Here is a 16,540-nt window from a genome sequence, read left to right on the forward strand (position 1 = left end):
TAATGATTGCCATTCTAACTGGTGTGAGATGGTATCTCATTGTGGTTTTGATTTGCATTTCTCTGATGGCCAGTGATGATGAGCATTTTTTCACGTGTCTTTTGGCTGCATAAATGTCTTCTTTTGAGAAGTGTCTGTTCATGTCCTTCGCCCACTTTTTGATGGGGTTGTTTGTTTTTTTCTTGTAAATTTGTTGGAGTTCATTGTAGATTCTGGATATTAGCCCTTTGTCAGATGAGTAGGTTGTGAAAATTGTTTCCCATTTTGTAGGTTGCCTGTTCACTCTGATGGTAGTTTCTTTTGCTGTGCAGAAGCTCTTTAGTTTAATTAGATCCCATTTGTCAATTTTGGCTTTTGCTGCCATTGCTTTTGGTGTTTTAGACATGAAGTCCTTGCCCATGCCTATGTCCTGAATGGTAATGCCTAGGTTTTCTTCTAGGGTTTTCATGGTTTTAGGTCTAACGTTTAAGTCTTTAATCCATCTTGAATTGATTTTTGTATAAGGTGTAAGGAAGGGATCCAGTTTCAGCTTTCTACATATGACTAGCCAGTTTTCCCAGCACCATTTATTAAACAGGGAATCCTTTCCCCATTGCTTGTTTTTCTCAGGTTTGTTAAAGATCAGATAGTTGTAGATATGCAGCATTATTTCTGAGGGCTCTGTTCTATTCCATTGATCTATATCTCTGTTTTGGTACCAGTACCATGCTGTTTTGGTGACTGTAGCCTTGTAGTATAGTTTGAAGTCAGGTAGCGTGATGCCTCCAGCTTTGTTCTTTTGGCTTAGGATTGACTTGGCAATGCGGGCTCTTTTTTGGTTCCATATGAACTTTAAATTAGTTTTTTCCAATTCTGTGAAGAAAGACATTGGTAGCTTGATGGGGATGGCATTGAATCTATAAATTACCTTGGGCAGTATGGCCATTTTCACGATATTGATTCTTCCTACCCATGAGCATGGAATGTTCTTCCATTTGTTTGTATCCTCTTTTATTTCCTTGAGCAGTGGTTTGTAGTTCTCCTTGAAGAGGTCCTTCACATCCCTTGTAAGTTGGATTCCTAGGTATTGTATTCTCTTTGAAGCAATTGTGAATGGGAGTTCACTCATGATTTGGCTCTCTGTTTGTCTGTTGTTGGTGTATAAGAATGCTTGTGATTTTTATACATTGATTTTGTATCCTGAGACTTCGCTGAAGTTGCTTATCAGCTTAAGGAGATTTTGGGCTGAGACAATGGGGTTTTCTAGATATATAATCATGTCGTCTGCAAACTGGGACAATTTGACTTCCTCTTTTCCTAATTGAATACCCTTTATTTCCTTCTCCTGCCTAATTGCCCTGGCCAGAACTTCCAACACTATGTTGAATAGGAGTGGTGAGAGAGGGCATCCCTGTCTTGTGCCAGTTTTCAAAGGGAATGCTTCCAGTTTTTGCCCATTCAGTATGATATTGGCTGTGGGTTTGTCATAGATAGCTCTTATTATTTTGAAATACGTCCCATCAATACCTAATTTATTGAGAGTTTGTAGCATGAAAGGGTTGTTGAATTTTGTCAAAGGCTTTTTCTGCATCTATTGAGATAATCATGTGGTTTTTGTCTTTGGCTCTGTTTATATGCTGGATTACATTTATTGATTTGCGTATATTGAACCAGCCTTGCATCCCAGGGATGAAGCCCACTTGATCATGGTGGATAAGCTTTTTGATGTGCTGCTGGATTCGTTTTGCCAGTATTTTATTGAGGATTTTTGCATCAATGTTCATCAAGGATATTGGTCTAAAATTCTCTTTTTTTGTTGTGTCTCTGCCTGGCTTTGGTATCAGAATGATGCTGGCCTCATAAAATGAGTTAGGGAGGATTCCCTCTTTTTCTCTTGATTGGAATAGTTTCAGAAGGAATGGTACCAGTTCCTCCTTGTACCTCTGGTAGAATTCGGCTGTGAATCCATCTGGTCCTGGACTCTTTTTGGTTGGTAAGCTATTGATTATTGCCACAATTTCAGATCCTGTTATTGGTCTATTCAGAGATTCAATTTCTTCCAGAGTCTCACTTCGTCACCCAGGCTACCAGTGTAGTGGTGTGATCTCAGCTAACTGCAACCTCTGCTTCCCGGGTTCAAGCGATTCTCATGCCTCAGGCCTCTGAGTAGCTGGGATTACAGGCACGTGCCACCGTGCCCAGCTAATTTTCTGTATTTTTAGTAGAGACGGGGTTTCACCATGTTGGCCAGGCTGGTCTGAATTCCTGACCTCAAGTGATCCGCCTGCCTCAGCCTCCCAAAGTGCTGGGATTACAGTGTGAGCCACCATGTCTGGACAAATTTTGGTTTCAATTTTATGCATGGAAATACATGTACATATTCTGGATTAAGAAGTATCATTTTTTGGCCAGGCGCAGTGGCTCCCGCCTGTAATCCCAGCACTTTGGGAGGTCTAGGTGGGTGGATCACCGAAGGTCAGGAGTTCGAGACCAGCCTGGCCAACATGGTGAAACCCCATCTCTACTAAAAATACAGAAAATTAGCTGGGCACGGTGGCGTGTGCCTGTAATCCCAGCTATTCAGAGGGTTGAGGGAGGAGAATCGCTTGAACCCAGGAGGCGGAGGTTGTAGTGAGCTGACGTCATACCATTGCACTCTAGCCTGGGCAACAAAAGCAAAACTTCATGTAAAAAAAAAAAAAAAGATTGATCATTTTTCTTACTGGGGACTGTAGTTGAAGAATTTGAAAGTTACTGCTCTAGAGGCATTGTAAATTCTATTTTAGTACATGTATTTATTTTTCTCATGAAGAATTTTTCATTGCAACAAATAAAAAATCATGGCAAGTCGTTCGATGACTAAACAAATGCCGGTAGCAAGGAGAATGAGGCTATATGAAATATACATTATTGCACCTTGATTATTTTTATATATGTATATATTACATTTTAATCACAGAAAGGCTATAAGGCTTAGTTAGTTTTGACAAAGTGTTTAAAAATACCCAGCTAAAGCCTGTTGTAGATATTATCATTACACTTAATAATATTTTGCATTTATATGTCACCTTTCATTTGAGACTCTCAAGGTGTTGATTCATTTAGTTCCTCAGTTTATGATTCTCGGTTCATCTCAGGAAACCTGAGGCACAGGCCACTGTTCCCCTAACATAATAAAGTCAGAGAATTAATTCAGTCTCCTGTTTCCTTTAGAAAGCCTCAATCATTTTATATATGGTAAATATGTATTATACAGAGAGCATATAGTAAAGACATATCTTATATTTTATTTGGGTCTATATATTTTACTATATTTCATACAGTATATTTTATACATTTTATAATTTTTAAACATGTATATTTCTCTCTGCTAGGCTGGCAGCCTCTTGGGAGTAGGGGCAGATTTGGGGCTGTGAATCTCTCAGAGCCCCACAGGCTGTGGGCACAGCATCCATGGGCAGCCGGCAGGCACGAGGAAATGCCAGTTACATTAGCTCAGTCCCCCAAAGAAACACCTTCATTATGGATTCATGGTTTTAATGCTGGGTTTTTGGCTGCTATCTAAGGTTGCTATAGGAAAAAAGAACATATCTGCATCTTTTGTAAGAATCTAGTTATCATGAAACTTAAAGTATATGGTAGGATCATTAGGGCCACATACTGACTTTCACAGACCATAAATATCTTTGCTTTCTTGGGCCCCTTCTTCCATTAAAAAAAAAGTTTAAAATGATAGTTAGACTGATGGTATAAAGACAGGTATAATCCAAGCTGGATTATATATATATATATATATATATATATATATATTTCTGATTTAAAAGTAGTTATTTTGTAGGCCTCTAGAAGTATGGGCCCTGGGCCTTCTTCAGTGTCTAATAAAGAGGTGGGCCTTGGGGCAAATATGCTGAAATATCACTGGTATGTTTCCCCTTCATTTGTGTGCTGCTGTAGGGATGTACTCCGGTTTTATTGCCTCAGGGAAGAATGACCCAGCAGGTAACAAAAGAGCCAAATTATTGGATTTGGATTTCAAAAACTTGGGTCTTAGCATAAGCCTGATAGATTTGGGAGCATGAAGAGCCAAGCCACCCTGTTCCACAGCAAATGAAGAATTCATGGACACAAATAGGAGAAGGCCAGAGAAAAAGCTGAGAATGTTTGAATTTGTCTGGGATCCTGAATTTGAGTTAAGATTTTGGAAATCCTGGAGCCAGATGGGACCTGTATTAGTCGTTCTCATGCTGCTAATAAAGACATACACAAGACTGGGTAATTTATAAAGGAAAGAGGTTTAATTGACTCACAGTTCCACATGGCTGGGGAGGCCTCACAATCATGCTGGAAGGCAAATGATGAGTAAAGTCATGTCTTACATGGCAGCAGGCAAGAGAGAGCTTGTGTAGGGGAACTCTCCTTTATAAAACCATCAGATCTCATGAGACTTGTTCACTATCATGAGAACAGCATGGGAAAGACCCGCCCCCATGATTCAATTACCTCCCACAGGGTGTCTCCCATGACACATGGGAATTATGGGTGCTACAATTCAAGGTGAGATTTGTGTGGGGACATAGCCAAACCATATCAGGACTTGTCATTGCTCTCCCCATCACCCCCTATTCCCAGGGTAATGTTTTCAGAACTGCTGAAGATTGGGTCTCCCATGTGTCCCCAAGCCCAGAGTGCTGGAGAGATGAAACACTATCTGTTCGGTGGATCAGGCACATAACCCAGGGATGGTGCTGGGTTTCCAGGAACCCAGGTGGAGAGAGACACTAGAAGGTGTCTGGTGGGCTAGAGAGTGGCACCCTTGTGGCAGAGCACCAGTCTACCTATGAGTTTGTGTGGCAAGCCCAGGAGGATGGAGACCTGCATGGATCTGTAAGGGAAGACCACAGGGGAAGGAGAGTGTTTCTGCAGATGTAAGCAAGGAGAAAGGATGGCAACAAAGATGGATTCTTGGCATTGTGGCACCACACAAACCCCTCAGAACTGGAAGAAATCCAGAATTGACCAATATTCCGGTTTTTCCTCTTGGTAAAATGAGAGCTTGGAAGAAAAATTAAGTTCAATTATGGCAAAACTAAGTTCCAATGTATACCAGATTTTGGAGCCTGATTAGTATTCACTATACATAGATGTTTATGATGCTTTACAGCATATGAAGGATTTTCTGCTTTTTAAAAAAATTTTAATTCATATTAAGATCTTAAAAGGTATTGTTATTATTTCTGTCCTCATATTATACATGTGAAAATGGAAGCACAGAAAGGTTAAGTGACTTCCCCAAGGCCACACAGCTGGGACCTGGTTGAGCTTGTGTTGTCCAATATCCCCCCTGAGGACTTAAGTGAAAGCTTCCTGTTAGGATCTCATAAAATGCTGGTAGGTTACCAAAAAGCATTTAGTGTTCTGCACTTTGATGCTCAGATGTGAGGAGAGAAGAGGGCTCAGGTGTGTTTTGCTTGCCGCCCCACCTTGGGCTCCCTTGCTGCTGGGTTCTACTGCAGAGCTCTGCTGTCATGCTCAGAGGTGGGGAGGCAGGAGTGTTAATGGGAATGTAGTGCAGGGGCTGAGCCCTAGTCCAGTGGGGGTGGGGAAGGAAAGAGGATGCCCTTTGGATTCGGTGCCCAACCTAGGTTAAGGGAAGCAATTCTTCTTACCTAGATTTTTACCCACACTTACCATGTTGTAGATTTTTCTTATTTTTGTGTCTCTCTATCTAGACTGCAAGCAACTGAAGGCAGGGACTCCATTAGACTCACTTCCCACTGCATCCCCCACACCTACCAAAGTCCCTGGCATGTAGTAGGAATTTTAAAACATTTGTGGAATAAACAAATGGCTGGATGATTGAATTCTCGGGTACTTGAGTGTCCCCTAAACAATTCTAGCCCTGTATCCCTTAAAGCAAAGTAACTTCTGAGGGTTGCTTAGTCTTAGCATCCTATATTTCACTCAAGAAAGTTCTATTAAAAATAGCTACTTCAGTTGCCAGCCACTTCTCCTACTTTTTCCTTCTCTACCCCCAAATCCTCTTCTTCCTTCTTCCCCCTCCCCTCCCCCTCCCCTCCCCTCCTACTTCTCCTCCTCCTCCTCTTCCTCCTCCTCCCCCCCTCCTCCTCCTCCTCCTCCTCCTCCTCCTCCTCCTCCTCCTCCTCCTCCTCCTTCTTCTTCTTCTTCTTCTTCTTCTTCTTCTTCTTCTTCTTCTTCTTCTTCTTCTTCTTCTTCTTCTTCTTCCTCCTCCTCCTCCTTCTTTCTTCTTCTTTTTTGAGACAGGGTCTTATTCTGTTGCCCAGGCTGGAGTTCAGTGGCACAATCATGGCTGACTGCAGCCTTGACCTCCCTGAGGTGATCCTCCTAGCCCAGCCTCCCGTGTAGCTGGGACTACAGGCACATGCCACCAAGCCCAACTGATTTTTGTATTTTTTGTAGAGATGGGGTCTTGCCATGTTTCCCAGGCTGGTCTTGAAGCTTCTAGGCTCAAGGGATCTGCCTGCCTCCCAAAGTGCTGAGATTACAGGCGTGTGTTACTGTTCCCTGCCTCTTATTATTCTTAATCACTCTTTTAATCAAGATGTTTGGTATATTTTTTCCTTCTTCCATCTACATTTTTAAGAACTGTTTTCTTCTACCTCATGTTTATCAGCTTCCTTTATTGCCTCTTTAGAAGCAGAAGCACAGGTTATAAATCAATATGGGCAAATACTTTGCTGTCTTGTTTTGAAAAAAATTGTAATTAAAATTCATGGTAGAAAGAATTTCTAAAGTGGAAAGTTGCCTTTCCAAGATATTACCATGTCTTATTTTAGAACTTACTGTTGGTAAACTAATCTACATTATTAAATAGGATTCAGTTCATTGGAATCACTGAGTAATTACTGTGTTTGATAAGTATTGTTTGGGTGATATTATTAGTTTTATCACTTATGCTAGGTTGCTTTTAGGAATTAGCCTCAGCATTACTTGAAAAGAGATGGAAAATACTTTATATGTCACAAATCTAATAAATTTATACTTAATACTACAAATATAGAAAATTTTCATTGGATAATTTTTAAAAATCTGAATGCAATACAGAATAAATAAACTACATCTCTTAACGGACTCCTAATTTTTTCTTAAGGCACCGTGACAGAGAAGCTTTTCCCAAAGGTTATGATATAGAGGGTCCTGAGAAAGTTAAAAAACTGTGTAATTCAACATATCGGCGACTGGGAACCGATGAATCCCCAGTAAGTAGTTGCTATTACTTCGTTTGAAGTCTGAAATCTTTGTCATAGTGAAACATAAAAAGGTAAAGGGAGGAGTGTTTTGTGCAGCACCATCCCTCGTTAACTGTGTTAGTTACTTAGATGACTTAGTCACTGTGTGCTGAAGCAACATTACCTGTAAAATGTGCCTACCTCACAAAGTGATTGGGCGAATTACATGAGATGAAGCAAGTTGAGTATGTGGCATGGTGCCTGGCACATAAAAGTGCCTAGGAAATTGTTCCTGTTGCTATGATGCTGTTGTCACTACAGCAGCAATATCCTGCTAGATGTCTCCTTTCACCTCCACAATAACCCTGCAAAGTAGGTATTAACCATCACTAATTACAGAGGAGGGGAAAGAGGCTCTTAAAGACTAAGCAACTTACTCAAAGTCACACAGCTAGGGCGTGGAAGAGGGAGAGTTTATACCCTGGTCTTTGGTTTCAAGTGTTTTGTGCTTATCTTAAGCTGGTGGAGTTGTGAGTAATTAAAACATGCTATTAACAGTGTCATAATGTTTGTACAATCCAGTTACAAGAAAAATATTTATGGCATAAGTAATTCCTGTTTTAATTGAGGTGAGTGCGTTACTGCTTGGCTACCTAGGTGTCTGTCCAGTCAGCATAAGGCAAGAGCTCAACAACTAGGAGACCCCCAAATTGGGTCCTACAATGTCACGAGCTTTGTGGCTAGCTGAAGACAATTTAGCCTTAGAGGATGGCCTCGGGGCATGAAGAGCTGGTGATTTGATGAGGGTGGTCGTACAGGTGATGAAAAGATTGGGTTTGTGTCACATTCTGCCCCCGCCCCCCAAGGCTGGGCTAGTTTTAGACCAGCATTTGAAATGGGGCAGGTGTAAAAAGACGCATAATTCCACATTGGAAATTGTTCTAGAAGATTCTCCATTCTGCAAGGTAATGAGGACAAATTAGCTTAGCATGGCAGTGCCATTTCCTCCTTTCCTCTTATAGTTGCAGTGGACAGAGAGTAATAAGGATCGCCTGGAGAATGGGGATTTATCATAAAGTGACAGCTGCCTGGATATAGAATGAGCAAACTTGCAGGAACTAACACAGCTCTAAAGCAAGGCATCCCCATCGCCACCCCAACCTCTCTGTGTCACATGCACACACAGAGTCTCTTTGGCATCTCTATTTCTCTCTGCTCAGGTTTACCTCTTGCTCCATAGCCCAGATCTCAGGGGAATCTGATGATTTCCTCAGTTTCCACCCAACCCTCTTCCCTTTGCACCAGGCTGCCTCATGGGTCATCAGCCAGCATGTGGATGGGGCTCTGCAGTGTGATGCCCAACTCAGTCAACATCCACTTGCTCCATTCCCCCACAAACACAGCTTCACCTTGCTTTCTTCAGCATGGGGCTGTGGTCAGGAGAAGAGTAAGCTGGGCAATTCAGGCATTGCTTGACATGCACTTAGAGACTTTGGTCCTTAAAAAACATTTATTTTTGATTTCTATATTAAAGATGTTTTTAAAGAACTTTTGGTCCTTAAAAACATTCATTTTTGATTCCTATATAGAAATGCTCTTGGTTTCTGGGTATTCCTATACCTCATATCGTGGGGGAAGTGAGATGAAGCGGGATATGAGGTATAGGAACCACAAACATTCCCTCCCCAATATTATATGCGTTACAGTGGTCAAGCCTCAGGTTTAATGAGAATGTGTAAATAAATAGTAGTATTTACTGTCTGTATGTCTTTTTGTTGATGGCCATTGAAACCCTGTCCTCCACCTGCCAGATTTGGAATGTGTATTCAATAGAAAAGAAAATAGACTGAGGAATCACTATTTCTGATGGAACTGCTATTCTCTATCTTAATAGCAATTTACATTTTTCCCTATAGACTTTCTGTGTATAAAGCACTGGCTCATCCATCTTGTTTTTCATTCTTCACAACAAAGCTATAAAGCTGTCAAGAAATATATTATTATTTAGTTCTAAACCTAGACTTACAGATCTTAAATGACTCACCCAAGGTCCCAAGTGTAAAGAAAAGGAGGGGATACTGGCGCCAAGCCCCCACACCTTCACATGCCAGGTGTGAGGCTGGATATAGCAAGAGGATGGGCAAGTCCTTCTTCCTGTTGTCACAGAGATTTGGTAAAGGCCTAAAGACACTCTTGATAGTTGGCAGGAACCACATGCCTTAAAGCAAGAATCTGGGCCACCTAGGCAGGACCTGCTAAGAGACTAAATTAGATTAAACCAGTATGAGTAGTTATGTCCTTAAAGACAAGGGACTGAAGAGTTAAAAGAGTATTCATGTAGTTGTGGGTTCTGTGCCTCTCTTTCTCCAGTTGAGAGAGGTTTCAAGGGAACCACTCAGAGAGATTAATATGTATGTCCTGGAATTTAGAGGACACGGGGTCCAGTCACATGCCTAAAAACCTAAATGTGAGAGGTCATGCCTGATATGGCACAGCAGAAAGAGGGAGTGCGGGGCAGGGACAGTAGTGGTCAAGAAGAGACTTGCCTAAGACTTTTATTAAACAAAAGGAAATAACTTGCTGTGGGAGGGAAGGGGCAGTTTGATTAAAAATGAAATTGCTTTATGATTGCATCCTATTGATGCAATAGGATCAATTCAACAAGATGGTTCCATTAAAAGTGCTTCATTTCATCCTCTGGACAGCTGTTCAGGCAGGTATCATGCATGATCCACATTGGATAAATGAGGGAGCTGAGAACAAGTGAAGCTTAATCACTGGTGAAAAGTCAAACAGCTAGAAAGTGTATTAAAAATTAAAATCTATTGTTCTTCTCTGGCTCTAAATGCTAAGATCTTAGAGACTTTTCCAAACTGCCTCTTGGAGTACCAAACTTTTCCACTTCTAGTGTGCTGGCCTTTTTACCCTGCTACACTGCACCTTCCTTGTAGAAAATAGACCTGATTATTTTTTGCTCTGGCTTGGATATTGTATATCTCACTGCATATGTGTTGGGGCTTTGATTTCTTACATCTTAGCCATAACTTCTGTCCTATTTCCTGAATTATGTCCACACACATGCTGGCTAGCCCTATTCCCATCTGTTTCCCCTTCTGAATGCCTTCTTAACATTTTTGGTTTTTTTGCAAGTTTGCTGCTGAGTGGCTGCTTTGTACATCCACCGCACTTTCATTTAGCTGATTGAGGGTGTCCTTGTCCTTAAATGCTGCTGCAGGAGCTAATATGAGCATCATTTATTTGTAGCAGAGTTTAAAATCGGACTTACTTTTGTCTACGTTTTGGCTAAGGCTCTAAAAGTCTAAGAACAGAACAATAGCCTCATGTGCCGAAGTAAAGAATTAGGTCACTTATGCAAGATCCTCAAAGAAGATGGTGTTAATAGGCTCCCACTCACATGAGGGATATAAGAGAATTGAAATGCAAGAAGCCTCAAGAGGAGTTTGATAGTACAGAAAGGATTTTGGAGAGTGTGCTCTAAGTCTTATCTGCAAGGACCCTTGTGTGCCTCACGAAGTTAGACACAAGACTCTGGTGACTGGTCAGAGGAAGCAGAGCAGAAAGAGGGAGCCAGCTCCTCTAGAGGTGGAGCAACAATGTGTGAATCCTCGGTCCCAGATGTGCCTCTTGTGGATCCATTGTGGACCATGGGGAAGAAGAAAATGACATGGAATCATTTCAGAGCCTGTCGAACAGCATCTCATAGTAGGTGCCCAATAAATATTTGTAGAAGGAAAAGAAGGAGAGATGGGAGGGCATCTAGCTGGGTTTCCAGGAGCCGAGGCAAGACATTTAAGTCTAGCCAGAGGCATCTTCTATCATGGGACATGCCATTCAATGTTCCCAGAGGTGATCCCAAAGTCTACCAGAACCTCCCAAGAAAGTCACCTTGGAACATTCACCAGTGCCAGAGAGGGTCAAAGATAAACATACCCAGGGGAAACCAAAGCAAGATTACATTCTGCCATTCCCACTTTTACCTCTCTCTCTTCCTCATCTCCACACATCCTTGGCATCAGTCCCCAAGGAGATAGAGGGAGGTGGGGAATGGGGAAGAAGTCCAAGTGGGATAATTGAGAAGAAGCCAACTGTGCCCCCTGTTCCCAGTATAGTGGGCCAGGCCGAAGCAGCCCCAAGGTGGAGGAATGAGAATCTTCCCATGAAGTTTGAAGTTTTGGCTATTATATGGGACTGGCATTTTAATTACCTCAGTGAAAATCCTCTTGGGACAAAAGTAGCCAGAGAAGTTTTGTATTATCTGAGAGTCACCAGAAACGCCCCGGGACCTGTCTTATATTTCATCAAGGAGCATGAGAAAGAACTAGTCCTCTAAATGACTGTGGATGGGCAGTGATGGAGGAAAAATAGATTTGTTTTCTGATTGTACCTACTTATAAGTCCCACTTGTTCAATAAGCCAGTTGCCCTTTTGTATGTAAAAGAGCAGTCCATTCTTATCATATCTCTCTATCCCCTTTCCCTACTTTAGTTTTCTTCATGACACTTACATTGCTGGACATATTTTAGACTTACTTAGTTATTAATAGTTTGTCACCTTCTGTTAGAATACGAGCTCTATGAAAGTGGGGAGTTTGGTCTATTTTGTTCCCTGTTTTCTCCCCAGTTCCTAGAACAGTGCCTAGAACATAGTGGATGCTCAATAAGTATTTGTGGAAGAAAGGGAAGAAGGAAGAAATGAAGTAAGGGAGGGAGGAAGGGATGAAGGAAGTAAACAAAGAAGGAAGGGAGGGAGGAAGGGGAGGAGGGAGGAAGGGAAGAGGACAAAAGGAAGAAGTTCTACATTCAACAAACATTTTTTGAGGCCCCATTACTTTGCCAGGCATAATGCTAAGTGCTAGGGTGAGAAACATAATTCAAAAATTGGTGCCTGTATATAAGGAACTCATAGGTTCCTAGGGGAAATGGGAACACATAACCACGGTGGCAAAGGGTATGATGGATGCTATGACAGGAAGAACATCAGGATGCTGTGAGGTGTACCTGAACTGAAATGGGTTGGAAGGAGGTTTGGGTATGGTTTCCTTTGAAGCTCTGGAGCTGAATCCTAAAGGAACCATCTCTTGGCAGAATCTGGAAACATACCATTCAGGTTTCAATGGTGGGATAATTGATTTCCTATTTCAATGGTCCCTCAGGTTTCAGGAGGCCAAGTGAGGCCATTGGGGAAATAGATTCACAGGAGAACAGCAATTCAAGCCACTGGGTTTGCCCTGATTGTCTTATTCTAAGCTTAGTGGGTAATAGCGTTCTAAACTATAGTCTTTTACCTGGACTTTATTCAGGTGCTACATATCTCTACCCAGGTGAATTCCATGAAAACTAAAATCATCAAGAGTATGTCTATCATCATTGCTTCAACTTGTAAAGCCTTTCACCCAAGGATCCTCACAACACTACCAAAGGCCCTATCACAATCACTTATGTTACCTTCCTAGCATGTGAGGCTGATACTAAAGTGAGAGCCACTGGGAGGCCAAAGAAAGACCACTTCTGAGAAAGGGGTGCATGTTGAATCCCATACACCTAGAAGGATTAAGTACAGAACACATATGATGCTGTGTCATAGAAGCTGAGAACTTGTCAGACATAAATGAACAAAGAAATACATGAGCAATTTATTAAACAGATTTTTCTTATACAGCTAGTGGCTCAATGCCAAGGCATTTTTGGAACTAACAGGACAACATTGTTGAGCAAATTAGGCTAATATTAACAGCATCACAGATATTTTGGATTTAAAAATGGCAAATAAATGAATAGTACAAAAGTATATTAGCATTCATTTTATGAATAGATTAAGAATAGCCAAATAAGCCTAAATCTGAGCTGTTTTAGTGAATAAAAATATGACATTTAAAAACTAATGTCCTAAAAGGGATACAAACGATATAATTATACCAGATATGGGAAATTCAATTATTTACTTAATTGGTTCAAGTATTTTTTTCTTTGACATTGTAGGATAGTATTTTGACCAGTATAATCTTATAATCTTATAGATGCTTCTTGCATTCATATCTAAGCACCTGAAAGGGGTATATGGATCAAATGTTTATAAATGGAATATTTTAAATGCCATTGCAGGGGAAAGGAAGATGTTTGGGGATAGTAGGCTGTTGAGCTAGGGTCTCTTCTTGCTTCCTGTCTCCATAATCTTGGAGCTTGTGGTTGATGTCACAGGTTTCAGCATTCTCTCCTGGAACAACTTTGGATCAGCTTTTCCAATATCACCACAATGACATCTGGCTTTCCTGTGTTAGGAATTCCGTATCAATTTTGGCCCACTGAGTGTACTTCCCTTGTTTTCTGCTGCATCTCTGAGTCTATTTATTCTAGCAAATATCTTCTCTGTCATTTCCAGACGTTTGGGATGGGAATGAAAGCAGGCCACCCAGCATTTTGATCCCATCACTTTCATTTGCTGCTCCTTTTCTACATCAGTAATCATGCCCTAATTTAACTCTTACAGAAACTAGACTTTAATTTTTCATTTATATTAGTTTGCTTAAGCAGGTGTAACTGTTATGTTGAACAAACGAGACTTGAATTGGGCAATCATGTGCATGTATATACACACACACCCGCACGCACAAACATGCAGAGACACACACATCCATATTTTTTGCCTCCACTGCCTATTTACCCTGCTTTCTGGAATCGGTTCTTCCTTTATGCTTGGACAAAATGCTGTGCAGCTTCCTTAGGTTTTATGGTCAATCTCAGATAATAAGAAGCCTATTGGTCCCATTTCAATAAGTAAAATATTTCATCAAAATGATGAATTTCATTTAGAGTTAAAGCTTTTCTCTTCCTCCAGCTACAGCCTGCTCTAGGCTGGTAAGTCTGCAGAGGGAAGTGAGTGTGAAGGGTAGGCCGAGTTGGATAATTTTTTATTTCCCCACCTGCTCTGCTTTTCCTTTCCCCCAGACAACTAGAAGAGCCTTTTGTGTTTATTTTACTAATATTAAATATTTAATTGAGACTATTTTGTGACAAGAAGTGGTTTTGTCATCTCAGAGTGATCATGAAAAAATGAGACTTGTTATAAATTTATTTCTGCTAGAGACAGGAAAAGGAGCATCCCGTAAGCCAGGTGTGGTGGTGCACGTTTGTAGTCCTAGCTACGTGGGAGGCTGAGGCAGGAGGATTGCTTGAGCCCATGAGTTTGAGGCTGCAGTGAGCTATGATTGTGCCACTACACTTCAGCATGGGTAACAGTGAGACCCTATTTCTAAAAATAGAGAAAAAAAAAAAAGAAGAGGAAGAAGGAAGAAGCTCATAAAAGCTTGCTTGAAGAGGTAGTTGTGGAAAACAATAAAATTATTTTTCTGATTGCACCCTATGAGTCTCAGTTGTTCAAAATAATAGCAGTTATATTTGCAGAGGCCTCTCTCGGATCCTTTAGAATCTTTACATGGCACTGCTGAGTTAACCTAGATGTGAAAACAGCCAGGATTTCCAAGGACAAAACTTCTGAGAAATAAGTATGGTCTTTGTGATGATTTTAAAAGATAATCAAGCCTTTGTATATATTTTTTTTTTTTTGGCAACGGTGCAGAAAAGCTACAGTTGGTAGGGGGAATGCTGCTTAACAGGCTAAAATAAGACTCTTCCTTAGTTATGACTGAAGATCTAAGATAATAGATGCCAGCTCCTCCTTTATTCCAAGTAAGTGAGATGCCAACCCACTCATGCAGAACATGCAAATTATTTGGGCGGTAACTGAGTTTTGAGCTGCTTGGTGTCTCATTCACCTTGATGATTTAAAAACAAACAAAAATGGTTGAAATCAAACAGATCTGGTCAAAATAATTTAGCAGTTGGAGGAGTTGTCTGGAGAGAGTGTGCATGCTGTGAATCCCACCCCTTTAATCTCTTAAGGGGTAGGGGTGGGAAGTGTGTCTCCTTAATTTCCACCCTGAGAGTGGGGCCTCAATGATACCACCCAGGGAACTTGATGCACTGGGGTCTCACTCATGCTTGACAAAATGCTACAGACTGGAAGGTTCCAGAAGCAGCCTGTGGCATCAGAGGGAAAAGCTTGACGTGAGAAGTACCTGAGCTTCTAATATGGTTTTGCTCTGTGTCCCCACCCAAATCTCATCTTGTAGCTCCTATAACGTGGGAAGGACCCAGTGGGAGATAATTGAATAATGGTGGCGGGTCTTTCCCATGCTGTTCTTGTAATAGTGCATAAGTCTCATGAGATCTAATGGCTTTAAAAACTGGAGTTCCCCTGCACAAGCACACTCTCTCTCTTTGCCTGCTGCCATCCATGTAAGATGTGACTTGCTCCTCACTGCCTTCTGCCATGATTATGAGGCCTCCCCAGCCCAGTGGAACTGTAAATCCATTAAACCTCTTTCTTCTGTAAATTACCCAGTCTTGGGTATGTCTTTATCAGCAGCATGAAAACGGACCAATACACCTTCCTTCACTGTGGGTCAGAGGAATATACTTTCTGGGTGCCTGTAAAGAACCCAGGAAAGAATTGTCAATTGGGGATTATCTAAAATGAATCTTGCCATAAGAGATTCTGCCAAGGGTAAGTCATCCTCAGCAGAACAGTCTGGCCAACCTGAAATATATAACCTGAGAAGTCATAAGTGTTCTCTTCATTCCCTGTACCAGTCACCCAGGTTATGTGTCTACTGGATTTACTTCCCATAAGTGCAGCACAAATGGGAATTCATTCTAGAAGAATAGAAATTGGGATTTAAAAATAATTCGTACTCAGGAAAACAGGGAATATGAATGATATTATGAAATGAGCTTCCTCTATCCATTAGATATTTTCTATATTATAATTTTCTCAAGCTAGATTTTATTATGTAAATTAAATGGAAATTTTAGTGATTATCCTGCGAGTTTGTGCTGTGTTAATTTAGCTATCTCACATACCAAATTGCCAATCTCCAGTCTGTGATATACATATATACAAAGCCCAAAAGACTTTTAAACATATGGAAGTGCTTTATGAAGTACCATCCTTATGTCAGGTTATGAACATTTCTGCACCAAAGTGATTTTTTCACATTAAGATGGTGTAGGATTAGGTTTGCCTACATGCAACAGACACTGAAAATCAACAGAGGCTGTTCATATAGGGTTGTATTATTTCATGTAAAGGGTCTGGAGGATAGCAGGACTGGTATGAAAGTTCTATGTATTGTCAGAGACCAATTCCTTCCAGTTTTCTGCTCTGCCATCCTTGGGTAGGACCCAAGATGGCTGCTGGAAAACAGTCATTTTGTCCCCATTCCAGGCAGCAAGAAGGAAAACAAAAGAAGGACTTTCCCTGGAAGTTCTTTCCAA

General features: G+C 41.1%; 1 protein-coding gene across 11 annotated transcripts in view; it reads left to right on the forward strand.

The window, feature by feature from the left end:
• Window positions 1-16,540, forward strand: part of CFAP95 (cilia and flagella associated protein 95) — an 85,411-nt gene that overhangs the window by 16,592 nt on the left and 52,279 nt on the right. For 6 of the 11 annotated variants that reach the window (XM_011518230.3, XM_011518229.3, NM_001010940.3 and 3 more), the window contains exon 2: window positions 7,109-7,217. The exons of the other annotated variants lie outside the window; for them this stretch is intronic. In XM_011518230.3, coding sequence (XP_011516532.1) covers window positions 7,109-7,217 — 109 coding nt within the window. The remainder of the gene's footprint in view (window positions 1-7,108; window positions 7,218-16,540) is intronic. 11 annotated transcript variants of the gene reach the window in all.

This window comes from Homo sapiens, chromosome 9, assembly GCF_000001405.40.
Source record: "Homo sapiens chromosome 9, GRCh38.p14 Primary Assembly".
NCBI lineage: Eukaryota > Metazoa > Chordata > Mammalia > Primates > Hominidae > Homo > Homo sapiens.